General features: G+C 35.1%; 1 protein-coding gene across 7 annotated transcripts in view, besides 1 other annotated feature; it reads right to left on the reverse strand.

Annotated features, from left to right (window-relative positions):
- Positions 1-15,425, reverse strand: part of KHDRBS2 (KH RNA binding domain containing, signal transduction associated 2) — a 743,556-nt gene that overhangs the window by 384,221 nt on the left and 343,910 nt on the right. The window lies entirely within an intron of this gene.
- Positions 14,118-14,617: an enhancer, noted in NCBI's record as "H3K4me1 hESC enhancer chr6:62650913-62651412 (GRCh37/hg19 assembly coordinates)". NCBI's record gives its function as "activates a minimal SCP1, AML or CMV promoter by ChIP-STARR-seq in naive H9 embryonic stem cells {active_cell/tissue: H9 hESC(naive)}" and the evidence as "EXISTENCE:reporter gene assay evidence [ECO:0000049][PMID:30033119]".

A 15,425-nucleotide genomic window follows, 5' to 3' on the forward strand; every position in this document is an offset into this window, starting at 1 on the left:
TTTTTTTTCAAGCTGTTCTCTTATATGTGTGCAAAATGAAAAACTTTGGGGAAGATTTCAAATAAATCTCTAGCATCCTGATGTTATTCACCACTTCCATTATCCTTAGCAATCATCTAGTGCTTATCCAGGAGCAGGGTCTGATTGACCCTATGTCACTCAGAAGAAACTGCCTAAGATTAGGATTATGGACAGTTTTAGGTTACTAACTTTGTCAATGAATAGCTGGGTAAATAGGAAAATTTCCTTAACTTTTCAGAGGCAAGAGTAACAACAACAACAATAATAATATAATATTATTCAGCTTTTAAGGTCCTTAGGAGAATAAATGATAATAAATGGAAAGTACAACTTTGGCACATAATAGATTTACAGATTTATTTTCAAAAAACATATGGTATAAATATTATAAGCCAAATATTGGTAATATTATTATGAACAAGTAACTATTTTTACTCTCAAGCAGCATAAAATCTAAATGACAAATTATCCTATAAGACATATAGTCATGTCAATGTTAGTCATCAAAATTTCAGAAGTACTCTCAACTAGGTACTGACAAATTCAAAAAAGTGGTGCTTGGTACCCAAAGTGTTGTTATAGAAACCTTTTACGTAGTCTCCAAGTCAACTATCTTGAGACTATTGCTCATTTAAATATATATAAAATAACATTCTGCAATCTTGAAAATACAATTTCCTTAATTGTCTAAAGTAAAGAACTGATTGCCCAAACTCCCCAATCTATTGCTTGAACACCCTAAAAATTTGGTAGCCCAAGGTAGTCTTGTAATCACATTCATAATCAATCACTTTGAAAACACAGGTTGACTCAATTCACAATAAATCGATGAAAGTATGCTGTAATGCATAATACCATATAATGCCCATCTGTTCCATAGAAAATGGGAAAACACAAAGATGACAAATTTATTTTAATTCTTACAGCTGAGATTTTCAATCAGCTATAAAATTGTGGCATGTGATAGTTATCTATCTACAAATTAAGTAGGCTATGAAAGCAGATAATTATTGGAATCTGTTATGCAGATACAGAGATTGATACAGTGACCTCACTGAGCTCTGCCCAATCTTGGATACTGCTTACACAGTATCTTTGAAAGATATGAAGTATTTTTCTGGTGGTCAGAGGAAATACCTGCTGGGTTCTGCTTACTGCTTGCATTGACAAGTCATACAAATCATGTTCTTGTGTTTACCTTATTATATAAAATGCTGAGAATTTTCACAGGAGAAATGAAGTTTCCTACAGAAAACAATGTGATTGTTATCAACTCACATTTTGATTGCCTATTCAAATGCAGCATATAATGCAACAATTCTTGTTGGCTTCTGTATTCAAATTTATGCTTGCTTAGTAATTGTAGTCTCTGGAACTTATTTGGTGTAAACTGCTAAGCAAAGCTGAATGAATTCAAGAGGAAATAATTCCTTATTCCTTCTTCTTATTTACAACTTTCCAATCCTCAGAGGAGAAAAACACTATTTTCATGATAAAATTATAAAATCACTGTGTGGAAATAGGTTAGTAAAGAGGAATTATGAGTCTATTATTTGTATAATTCTCATTCTATTGATGCATGAGTATTTTAAGTACTAAATTATTCATATTGTTATTCACAATGATCAAATATCATACAATTACTTCATTTTATTTACTCTGACTCTACTCACAATACATTTTTCTGCATATTTTAAGATGATATAATCATAACAAATATTCATTTTAATAGAGTGGCACTGTATGCAATGGATTTAAAAGAGGATTACATGCAAGCCATTACATTTTAGCAATATAGATAGAACAATTATTCATATAGGACATATATGTTTTCTTAGGTTTTATCATGCTTGAGTTTTCTACCTATGTTTAAAGAAAAGATAATTTATGATATATCCCATATTTATGGCTGAAAATTAGATTTTATGATGCTTTAGAAACATATTATAAAACTAGGATTGTTTGTTATACTATAAAATTTATTTTCTTTCTGATTCCCTTTTCCATTGTTATCATTATTTTTTAAGACTAGTGGAAGCTCTTTGGTAGTGAAATTTGAAAGGGAAGAGTAATACTTATCACACAATATCATATTTTAACAGTTACATAAAAATTACAAGTCTGCTACAAGCAAATTTCCTTCCTCTAAAGATGGCTGCCAAAAAACATTCAAATTGGGCAAGGAAGTACAATATCAATCTATGGGAAAGTTGAATATAATGTAGGTTTGCTCCTGTGTGGTTATAAAAGTCACCAGAAAACAATGGGAAGAAGTGCTGAAGTGGGAAGCCATAAAGCAAATATGGGGTTGTGTAATCTTTTAATTTCAAGTAATTACCAGAAAAAATAACTTTGGAAAAATATTCTAATTTTACTGATGGTTGTACTATAGTAGTAAAGTCTTCATACTGATTTTTCATAGCTGTCTTTTAACAGGTGTGATAGAGGCCAAAATTAAAAGTGAACATCAGTTTTTCAACCTGCACCAATTTGGCTTAAGGAATATTTTATTACAGTAACTAATTTTCATCACTTAGTCATCGTAATAGCAATGTAATGTGAGTCTGCCCAAAGGCCGTTCCACCACCTGTATACCTGTTATTTAGTAAGACCCCCCTCAGTCATTCACATTAAACTTGCTGGGAAATAGGAGGAAAATCCAGAGATATTAAGAAGATTCTGGCAGTTTGAAACATATCACAAAGAGAGATAAAATTGCTTACTCAAAATGCACTAGTTTAGTATGACCCTCTGATGTTATTAAGTTCCTGAAATATAACAAAAAACACACTGCAAATCTGGATTCCATTATAAGCAGAAAACTAAAAAGCTAAAAAGAGATATTATTTTCCTTCAACAAATGTTAATCTACATTTCCTACAGATATATATTATATTCAAAATTGTTAGATGAAGTTGTTTGATTTAACATAAACGTGTCATCTCTGGGTTGCCTCAGTCTCCTCATCCATTAAATACATAATCACAACTATTTTATTTCTTAACCTCCCTCCTTCCTATGGTCTGAATGTGCCTGCCAAAATTCATATGTTAAAACTCCATTGCCAATGTGATAGTATTAAGATGTAAGGCCTTAAAGAGGTGATTAAGTCATGAAGGCAGAGCCTTCATGGATAAAATTAGGGTCCTCATAAAAGGGCATGAGGGAGGGGGTTCATTGCCTTCCACCCCTTCTGCCACTTAAGGACACAGTATTCAGACCCTGCAGAGGATGCTGGAACAAGATGCCATGTTGGAAGCAGAGAGCTGACTCTACCAGACAACAAACCTGCAGGCACCTTGATATTAAACTCCCCAGGCTCCAGGACAATGAGAAATAAATTTTTCTTCTTTATAAATTACTGAGTCTGTGGTATTTTGTTATAGCAGCACAAATGGAGTAAATTAACACCTTCTTCAAATCAAACATCTTATGACTTACGATTTCTATTTGTAAAGACAATGAAACAGAAGTGTTAAGAAAGAACTAGTTCTCATAATTGGCAATTCTTATATGAAATGCTCAAGGGGAATAACTTCTAGTTATCACTGTGTGCCAAGTGTAGACTTTCTGAATGTATTGGGAAGTGATAATGGACCCTATACCGCCCCTAAAAAAAAAAAAAAAAAAAAAAGAAAAAAAAAAAAAAAAAAAAAGGCTAGTCTAGTCTAGTTACTCGGGAGGCTGAAGCAGGAGAATTGCTTGAACCCGGGAGGTGGAGGTTGCAGTGAGCCAAGATGGCGCCACTGCACTCCAGCCTGGGCGACAGAGTGAGACCCCGTCTCAAAAAAAAAGAAAAAGAAAGAAAGACGGCTAATCAATATAAGTCAACATAAGTCAAATGAAAATTAATAAAGAGACTAATAATAAATACAAATAAAGGATGAGTTTACCTAAGCAACTTAGTTCATGAGTTGCCTGGAGGAAGCTAAGTATCAGGCTTTAGTAGAGCTCTGTTTCATTTAAATGTTAAACCTAATACCACATTTTTTACTCAAAGAAAGATTATTCAAATTTAACAACTGCAATTTTTCTACTCAGGTGGATAGAAATATTCTGGTGACAATTTTTGTTTCAAATAAGCAACTCTTCTGCATATGTAATAAAATACCACCTAATTTTACATAATAATGTGAATCAACAAAAAATTCAATCATATTACACATATACAATAAAATATTTTTATATTCATCCTTATAATGAAAAAAATACTTATATTTTGTTAAAAATATAAGAAGTTTCATCCAAAATACTACTTACGCATCTTCACTGAAAATCACTATAAGAAAATAGGGCTTGATTCCTTACATACTACATGAAAGGAGCTAAATAAAATTGATTTAGAGTATATGTTCATAAATCCGTAACCCTCTGAAGGTCATTTACTGAAACTTTCAGGTAACTAAACTTTTTATAAAGGTTGGAAGTTTTATAAAAGATGAAAGTATAGTATTACCCAAAAGAAACTAAAGAAACCTGAAATGTTGGACTTAAAAACTATATAAAATATTAAAGATGTTAAGAATATATACATACACACATATATATGTGCTAAAGATATATATATACATAATCCTTAACACTTGATAACATATTATCACTTATATAAAAATATACAATATTCAAAGAAGAATTTAAGTGGTTTTATATGCTCATTTATTAGTAATAAAGCTTTAAATATAATTTTATGCTTTTGAGAGAGTATTGCAAACTAGCCAATTTTTAAAAATTGACAGATTAAAATTGCATGCTTTTACTGTGTACAACATGATGTTTTGAAGTACAGTTACCCTTGAACAACACAGGTTTGAACTGCTCAGGTCTACTTATATGCAGATTTTTTTTTAAAGAAAAGTTGCACTGAGTGTGTCTGCCTATCCTGCCTCCTCTTCCACCTCCTCCACCTCTTCTGCCTCTGCCATCCCTGAAACAGCAAGACCAACCCATCCTTTCCTCCTCCTCCTCCTCCTCAGCTTACTCAACATGAAGACAACAAGGATGAAGATTTTTATAATGATCCATTTCCACTTAATAGTAAATATATTTTCTCTTTCCTCTGATTTTCTTAATAACGTTTTGTTTTCACTAGCTTACTTTATTGTAAGAATACAATATATAATATGTATAAAATTTTAAAAATGTGTCAATTGACATTTTTGTGTTTATGTTATTGGTAAGGCTTCCAGCTAATAGTAGGCTATTTGTAGTTAAGTTTTTGGAGAGTCAAAGTTATACATTGATTTTCGACTGTGCAGGAAGTCAGCACCCCTAAGCCCCTATGTTGTTTAAGGGTCAACTATACATATACATTGTGGAATGGTTAAATCTAGCTAATTAACAAATATGTTAGTTTACATAGTTATAATTTTTGTAATGAAAGAATGTAACATTCACGTTCTATGTTTTTCAGGAATACATCATCATTATAGTCACCTGGCGGTACAACACATCTCTTGAAATTTATTCCTCCTATCTAACTGTAATTATGTATTTTTTGACCAACATCTCTCTCTCCGCTAACCACTCCAGCCACTCATAACCATCATTCTACTCTCTATTTCCGTGAGATCAACATTTTTAGATTCCACGTAAGAGTGAAGTCATACAGGCCGGGCACGGTGCCTCACGCCTGTAATCCCAGCACCTGGGGAGGCTGAGGCAGGCGGATCACGAGGTCAGGAGATCCAGACCATCCTGGCTAACACGGTGAAAACCCATCTCTCTAAAAATACAAAAAAATTAGCCGGGCGTGGTGGTGGGCACCTGTATTCCCAGCTACTCGGGAGGCAGGAGAATGGCGTGAACCGGGAGGCGGAGTTTGCAGTGAGCCGAGATCAGGCCACTGCACTCCAGCCTGGGCGACAGAGCAAGACTCTGTCTCAAGAAAAAAATAAAAAATAAGAGTGAAGTCATACAGTATTTGTATTTCTGTACTTGGCTTCTTTCCATTAAAATACTGTCCTACGGGTTCATCCCTGTTGTTGCAAATGGTAGGATTTCATTCTTTTTATGTATGAATTGTATTTCATTGTGTATATAGATCACATTTTTTAACCCATTCATCTATTGATAGACACTGTATTAATCTGTTCTTGCAGTGCTATAAAGAAATACCGGAAACTGGGCAATTTATAAATAAAAGAGATTTAACTGGCTCACGTTTTCACAGGCTGTACAGAAAGTATGGGTGGGGAGGCCTCAGGAAATTTCAGTCATGGCAGAAGGCAAAGGGGAAGCAGGCACATCCTACATGGCTGGAGGAAGAGGAAGAGAGAGAAGGAAGGTGGTGCTACACACTTTTAAACAACCAGAACTCCTGAGAACTCACTGTCAGGAGAACAGTCAGGGGGAAATCTGCCCCTTTGTTCCAATCACCTCCCATGAAGTCCCTCCTCCAACACTGAGGATTACAATTTGACATGAGATTTCAGTGAGAAAACAAATCCAAGTCATATGAGACACATAGCTTGATTGTATATCTTGGCAATTGTGACTAGTGCTGCAAAAAACATAGGAGTGCAGATATCTCTTTGACATACTGATTTCAATTCCTTTGAATATACGTTATGCACTGCTTAACCATGGGGATACATTCTGAGAACTATGCCATTAGGTGGTTTCATCACTATCCAAACATTGTGGAAGGGATTTACACAAACCTAGATAGTATAGCCTACCACACACCTAGGCTTATATAGTATAGCCTATTGCTCATAGGCTCTAAACCTGTTCAGCATGTCAGTGTATTGAAAACGGTAGGCAACTGCAACACAATGGTAAGTATTTGTGTATCTAATCAGAAAGGCATAGTAAAAATACAGTATTATAATTTTATGAGACCACCGTGTATATGAAATCTATAATTGAATGAAATATTGTTATGCAGTATATTGCCATATAACCAATAATATGGATTGCTGGATCATTTGGTAGTTCTATTTTTAAGTTTTTAAGGACCTTCCATATTATTTGCCATAAGGACTGTACTAATTTACATTTCTACCAACAGTGTATAAGGGTTCCATTTTCTCCATATCCTCATCAAAACTGGCTTTCTTTCATAATTTTTTGATAATGGACACATGGACATTCTAACTGGGGTGATGTGATTTGTGGTTTTGATTTGCATTAGTGATGTTGAACCTTTCTTTCATGTACTTGTTTGCCATTTGTATATCTTCTTTTGAGAAATGTCTGTTCAGGTCTTTTGCCCATTTTTTAATGTGAGTTATTTGTCGGGTTTTTTTTTGCAGTTGAATTGTTTGAGTTTCTTATATATTTTGGATATTAACCCCTTGTCAGATATATACTTTGCAAATGTTTTCTTTTTCTTCTGTAGCTTGTCTCTTTACTCTGTTGTTTCCCTTGTTGTGCAGAAACTTTTTGGTTAGATGTAATTCCATTCGTCTGTTTTTGCTTTTATTGCTTGTGCTTTTGAGGTCTTATCCAAAAAATCCTTGCCCAGACCAATGTCATGAAGCATTTCCCCTAGGAGACTAGCTAATTTTTAAATCTAACAGAAAAGTGAGATATCACACTGATACAAGCTGTAATAGAGTATATGCATTGTCAGTCTAGGATACTTATAAACATACCCAATAAATAACATCTATTCAAAGTCAGTAGATTATCTTTTCACTATGAATTGTACAATCCAGTGTAACATAAACTTGTATTTATTTAGTTTTGATATTAATAGGTCAATTTTCTTGACTAACAGAAAAATAGTTAAGAATGTCATAATTTACTATATTAGAAACTAAAAGAAATAAACTTCATGTTGTGATTGTATTATTATTACTTTAGTGGAAGGAAGAATGCACTCAGAATCCCAAATTGGGGTAACAGGAACTTGCAGTTTAAGAATTCTTGCAGAGTTACTGGAAAAACAATTCAGGAGATTGAGGATTTACAGGGATGTAAAAACAGACACCTAGACAATTAGGAAAAGCACAGAAGACTGAGTAAACCCATGGGATTTCTTTAGGGAAACTGGAGTGATCTCAAGAGCTTCATCATTGCTACTAAGTATGGCTTCTAACAACTTTGTCTGTCTCTCACAATCAGTTTCTTCCATTCTCTCTCACAATTGCCTTGCCATTTGAGGTGCTCTGAATTTTTAGAGTTCTAGCAAGAAAGGAAGAAGAATTGTGGATGAAGGGGAGTCAAACTTGTATGAACCCTCTTTCTATTTCTAAAACCCCTAATTTGTCGCTAAGGAAATTTAGGTAGATTCTTGAGGGTTGGAATTTCTATACCGACATTTAAAAGAGGGAGTAGAGGGCATGAGGTAGTAAATGTTCCCTAAGAGATAGCATCCCTGGAATGTAGGAAAGTATCAGTGAATTTTGAATGAAAGATGTTTAAAGCTCATTTATCCTTCTTTTTCCCCTGACCATTGCCAGTATCACCTCTGTCAAGTCTGTCCTGGACTAACAACAGGACAAGAGAAAGAGAAATAATGGCTAAGGGATATCCAGCTAGCAAAGGCATGAATCAGTGGAACTCAGCATGACTGGTGGTGAAAGAAAGCCCACGTTATTCTTCAGGGATCATCCATGAACAATACTTTGCATTGCAGAGGTCAGAACATGCATGAATGCTTAACATTTTATTACCCAAACAATTACAGTCACAGTTAATTATCTGAGGTTTTACAATACTATCATAGAAATTATGCACATTACTCTTCAAATGGGAAACAAATTCCCCTGAGTGACATTGCTTTGCTCAGTGCTGCTAAATCTTCAGTATTATTTATGTTCTGCACAGTGTGTTAGGATTGAATGAGGGTTGTGAGACAATTTAGTGCAATCTACTCATTTTAAAGTTAGTGAAATATGAGAAATAGTAAGATAAAACCCATTTATTTAAGGTCAAAGATGGAGATAAATTGCATGGTTCTGCACCACATCTTTATTTTGGGAAACAAAATTGAATTTCAGAGACCATCAGAGAATGACAATCTCATCATATTGATTTCATCATAGTTTATACAATAATAATGTTAAAATGGAAATTTCTAGTTCTTCAATACCATTTTATGTCCTCCTTTTCCAGATGTAAATTGAATGTCCATCTTTCTAATTCATGATTTTAAATTTTAAATCTATCTCTATTCTATCATCTGTCTATGTACTCAGAAACAAGAAACCATGTATACTCTGAAATCTTTTCGCAATGTGCCCTTTCAGTTTTTAGTCAAAACTGTTCTTAAAGCTCTATCTATATTGACACATATAAATATGGTATGTACATACATTTTACCTTTTATTCTTTGCTTCCTCTCCAGTTCTATTTTGTACCTTCCACTAGATTGATCACATTTTCTTTCTTTTTTTATTCCGTGTAATAATTTGGGAAATACATGTTTTGTTTTATACTTTAAACAGGCAAACTGGCTTCAAAATATTCCAACAAAATATAACATTAATATTTTTATTCGGCCCCATAGGGCTGCTCCACATTCTCTCTCCTCCTGAATAGGCTTGTACTTTACTTTGAACTGTCATCCATTTTTATTTTTCATTTAGTGTTATCCTGTATCTCCCTCTACATTGCTTTAACCATACTCCTATATATTCTCATTATTCTTTTTAAGTTAGATTTTTTTTTATATTTGAATATTGTGTTTTCTCAATTTGGGACTCATCTTTATTTTACATTCCATTATTTTATCTTATGTTGGTTTCCTTCGGGCTTCAGCTTATCTTGTCCAGTTCTTTCAGTGAAGTTTTGTAGTTGATAAACTCTTGTTTATAGGTTTGAAAAATATAATTATTGTTCTCTAACTTGAATGACAATTTAGTTTGATATTGAACTGAAAGTCAATAATTATTTCCTGTCAGTGCTTTGGAAATAGTATTCCTCTATCTTCTTCACTAAGTTTTGCTGATGAGAAATTCACTGGTGAGAAATTTGTCAGTAATTTATATTTATTTGTAAATCTTTTTTTCTCTAAAAGGTTAAAAAACTTCATTTTTTTGTTGTTCTACAGTATAATACACATGTATCTAATTTATCCATCTGAAGACTTTAAATTATTTTTAGGACTTACTATGTTTATAGTTTTGAAATTTTTTTATAAAATATGTTTTCAAACAATAAATTGGCCCCATTTTCTTGATTCTCTCCCTGACTTCCTATTGGACATGTATAGGACCATCTTATTCCTTCCTTCATGATTTTCTCTTCATCTCATGGTGCTGCATTCTGGTCATCTTCTCAGGTCCATCTTTTGGCATATGAATATTATTCTAAATTGTGTCTGGTTCACCTTTACCCATCCCATTGAGTTTTTTATTTCAATTGGTTTTTTATTGTCTAAAATTTACATTTGGGTTTTCTGCAAAGCATCCTTTTTCTTTTTTTATTATACTGTCCTGTCTTGTCTTGCAAATCTTATTTCTTCTTTCATTTATTCAACCATATCAGATATTCTTATTTTAAAATTTATTTAAATTCTTCTTGTACATAGAAGATACTTCTACTACTCTTCTAGTTGTTATTTCTAACTACTACACAACGTCACTAGGCTTCCTATTTCCTCATGTGTTTTGTAATATTTTATTGTTGACTTATCTTTGGTCTGATGTGTCTTATGTTTATTGAACTTCTTGGGGGATTTTGTTAATTTCTTCTTTGAAAACTTCTACTATATGAGTATCGGGCAGGAATTTAGGTCACACACCTATTTGTGTTATAAGGCTGAAAATCAGTCATTTCATTTGACTCTGTACTTACAGCCTTGCGCCAGCAGGCTGAAGTTTTTCATTAGGACCTCCTTTATCCTATAATTAGATTTATAAAGGAAGATCAGGATTAGTAACTCTTAGATACAAGAAGCCTATGGTCTTTATTCTGACCTCTAAACAGAATTAAACTCTATCCTTTAAGGCTTATATAGGGACAGCTTTATACCCATGAGTTACATGGGTCCACTCCTAGGCACTGCTGTAAATTTCCTCTTAATTTCTGGCACGTGAAGATTTCATTGTCTTACTTTCCATTTTTATTACCTCAAATTTTTCAGTCTAGTATTTGTATGTGAATTGGGTAATAGGAGTTGTTTCTTAGGTCCATGTCAGCTAATTTCACCATCTTAACCAGAAGCTCCAGGACACCTTCTACAGCCCCAAGCAATCAACACAAACCACTAATCATTTATTGTCTACCTTTTGGGTTTACAGCACTGGAGTCTAGGCATAAATATAAATATAAATATAAGTCTCAATATCGCTCTTCAAGGGGTTTACAATCTGTTGGTGGTCTAAATGAGAGAAAACACATTTTTCAAAAATATAAAATGTGCTAACATAAGATCAGTGTGTATTCAGGAGAGTTGCAAATGACAACAACAACAACATAAAAAGGTTTCATGGAATAGTTAGAAATCTTAACTTGCTAGAAAAACGTATAGATTTAGGAAAGCCATAGAGTTAGGAAGTGTTTCCAGTTAAAAGAAACAGGATATGCTATAAAGATGAGGATGAGCAAAGTATTTTGAGACAATCATGATTATATCACTGGCCTTGAGCAGGTCAACCACATTGGAGAGTAAATTCTAAAGTACTTTATTTTTCAGATTTTTGAACTTTGTTTATTGAGAATATTTTATGTAAGAATGTTATAGGGTGAAATAATTGCTCTGAGAAGGTTACTCTGGTAGTGTTCTACATCATGGCATGAGAGAACTGTGAAAGGAAGGCATGGCAGTAACTCAGTTCTAAAAGGATGAAGGCTCAGACTAGTAGATTGCTAAGGGGAGTGGAAAACAAAGGAAAACCAACAGAGGCAGTTTAATGTATTTACATCTCCTTTTGTCCACAAAAGGTTTGGTGTCTCTTTGAGAAAATCCAGAAGAAAAAATGGAAATAGTAAGAGGGGATTCTATAAAGAGAAAAAAGCAAAATTGTTGATCTCGTGGTTCTATAGTTTCTGGCTGGCAGTGCAAATATAAAGATGTTGCACCAAGTGTCCTCCTCAAGGGCAGTACATTTTTTTTTCTAGAAAAAAATTCTGAAAAGAGCTCTCCTATTCATGTTCATCAGTGGTTCTTCAGTGGAGGCTATTTGCCTCTTTAGAGATATTTATCATCATTCAGAGACATTTTTGATTGTCACACTGGTAGGAGGAGGGTGTGCTACTGGTACCTAATGGCTAGAGGTAAAAGATGCTGCTAACATAGCCTACAGTGCACTGGGTGGACCCCACACCAAAAATTATCTGGCCTGAAATGTTAATTATGCTGAAGTTGTGAAATCTAATACACATCGATGTAATGGACTTTGCTCTCACAGCTGTTTTCTTAAGGAAATAAAATACATGCTTAACATAGTTATGTATAGACACATTCAAGTATTCAGTCGATTTGGGACATTAAACAATCCACTGTAACCTGCTCTATTTTTACCATTGTACTTATCAACATCACAATTTCTTACTCTTATTTCAAATTCGAAATTAATTATTTTTATGGTTATTTTTAATTTTCTGCTTACCCCCTGTAATTCCTCAAATGTAGGCTCCATCAGCCCAAGGATCTTTGAAAGTTTTTTTTCACAGATATTTTGCATCACTAGTGCTTGTCAGCAGTAGAATTTTAGTGAATACTTTTTCTATAAATGAACAATGGGTAAAAAAAACAGATTTATTGTTACCTAATGTCATAGAAATTTGGAAATTAAGGAACTTGGATGAAGAAGAAGTGGGTATGACCGTAAATTATCCTCCTTACACATTATTTCCTGCTTTTACATTTATAAATGAAGCTGAATTTTAGACTCCAAGAACAGCCTTTCTTTGAAGAATCAGCATGATAGAATTATTCAATGTGAATTATAAAACTCTGGAAAGAAACCAAAGTACATACTGGTTCATTAGACATTGAAAGGAAGACAAAAGCGGTTGAAGGCTATGGAGATGCAAAATTATAGATTTCCTATCAATCAATTCAGAAGTATTCTAATACTTTTCCTAGTATACACATTAGAGCAGAATGTTTTGTTCTTCTGATATTCAATTCATAAAATAAATGTACCCTTTTTTTCTTGTTACTTTTTCTAAACCCATATTATTAGCCATAAATGATGCTGCTCATGATGATATTAAGTAAAAAGAGAAACATAAGAATTCATTATTGGGAAAACTCCATTCACATATTCAAATGTATAAGCTTTTAAGATAAATAATGTTAATTTTATTATTTATCAAAGATAAAGATAACTACTAATTAAAATATATTTAACGGAACAACAAAATGTTTGATATCAGAAATATATAAATTGCAGTTAAAAGGTCTTTGAAAATAGTGTAGTGGTAAATAAAAGTTCAAAAAAAAAAAAGAATATATTGCCCACATTAAAAACCTATATGGAACAAGGAGATCAGCTGGAAGCCAAGAGACACTTCCCAATATGGGGAAAAGGTAAGTCAGTGGTCCATATTCCCACCATGGACTCCTGCAATCCTAGCCATGGAAGAGCACTGCAATCCTCAATCCTCGCCGGCCCTACAACTAACATAGGGAACTTCCAGGAGATTGTGCAATGGAACTGCTCCAGGGAGTGGAGGGTGGTTGTGCTGGGTCCCACATGCTCCATGAGACTTGGCCTCAAGCTATCTTCCCAACTTGGCCTCTCAAAGTGCTTAAATTACAGGTGTGAGTCACCACTCCTGGTCAGAATTCAAATTATTGATTCTAAAGAAGCTCAATCAGCTATAGCAAGGTACCATTTTAGAGCCCTGCACCCAATGGACTGCACACTGTCCTGGAGCCCAGTGATGCCAGGTCTGAGATGCAATATAAGAGTGGCTTCTACTTCCAAGGTAGCAACCTGAAGCTTAGGTGCAAGTGATCATGGGCTAACATACCAGGGGCTGAGATGTGATCCAAGCATGGACTATTGCTGTTGAGGCTTAGGCATGAGCAAACTGCCAGCTACTGCAGCAGGGCCTGAGGCTTGAGAACTGCCAGGGCTGAGTCGTGAGTATGGGGCATCTCCTCACCTGCTGGCCTAGGATGTTCAACACCAAAAACAGCACTGCCTTTCCCATTTGCAGGGAAGCAGTTAGGCTGTTGCCACCCTCTCCCAAACATTTCACCAGTGGCTGGGGGTTGTCCTCCTGCCTACCATGGCTGGCATCTTCATTTACAATTGGGGGCCTGAGAACAAGCCCGCCCAGCTTGGCTTTGCCATAGCCCTGTGCCAGGGCATGCAGCCTGGGGACAAGGGGATTGCCGAGCTGAGTCAATAATCATTGGCATCTGAACCTTCTCCAGGGGGACCTGAGGTTGGGCATACACACCATAGCTGGCACCTACCTTCATGTGCTACCTGTTGGCATGGAGACTGGCCTGCACATTACATTACAGTCACCACCAACACCAGCACACAGCACTCAGAATTCAGAGGGCTATCCTGCCACTGACAATGACATTGCTAATTCCATGTCAGTTGGCTGGGGCCCCAAGAACCTGCCCACCCACCCGCTACATTACTGCCATTATTAGCATCTGAGTAAGCCACCCAGAGGCCTAAGAATAGGCCAAACTGGACCCATTAACACCAGTGCCAGCATATACTACCCTGCAGCCCAAAGACAGACATGCTTAACCCACCACCTCCACCACTAGGGCCTGAAGACTGATCTAACCTGGTGCTGCAGTCCGCAGGAAAACTTTACCACAGCCTCCACCAATAACTGCTCCCTAAGCCACCAAGAAAATCAGAGACCGTGGATGCTGTTCACAGCTGAAGGAATGATACAGAGACTACATTACTGCATGGACACAGAATCAAAGCCAAAGTGTCCTACATAACCAACACCGTAGATACATCTTTAGGAAAAAGTGTTCTGCTATTAAAGCAAATTTAAAAACTGGAAGAAGCAACTGTTACACCAGATGTGCAGATGTCAACATAAGCATAAAGAAAACATAAAAAAGCAAGGGAACATGGCACCTCCAACGAACATAATAATACTCCAGCAAAAGATCCTAATGAAAAAGAAATTCAAAACATTCCAGAAAAAGAATCCAAATTATTATTATTATTGTATTATTATTATTATTGGGACTTGTTCTGTGACCCAGGCTGGAGTGCAGTTGGTATGTAATAGCATGCTGTTGCCTTGAACTCCTGGGCTCAATCAATCCTTCCACCTCAGCCTCCTGAGTAGCTAGGACTATAAGCACACCACACCTACCCAATTAAAAAAAAGAAAAATGTAGAGACAGAGTCTTGGTATGTTGCCCAGACATGTCTTGAACTCTTGGCCTCAAGTGATCCTCTTCTGCCTCAGGCTCCCAAAGTGCTGATAATATAGGTGTGAGCCATCACACTTGGCCAGAATTAAAATTACAGATTCTAGATATGCTCAATTATATATAAGACAATCTTGAG

The sequence above is a fragment of the Homo sapiens genome, chromosome 6 (genome assembly GCF_000001405.40).
Source record: "Homo sapiens chromosome 6, GRCh38.p14 Primary Assembly".
In the NCBI taxonomy this organism is placed as follows: domain Eukaryota; kingdom Metazoa; phylum Chordata; class Mammalia; order Primates; family Hominidae; genus Homo; species Homo sapiens.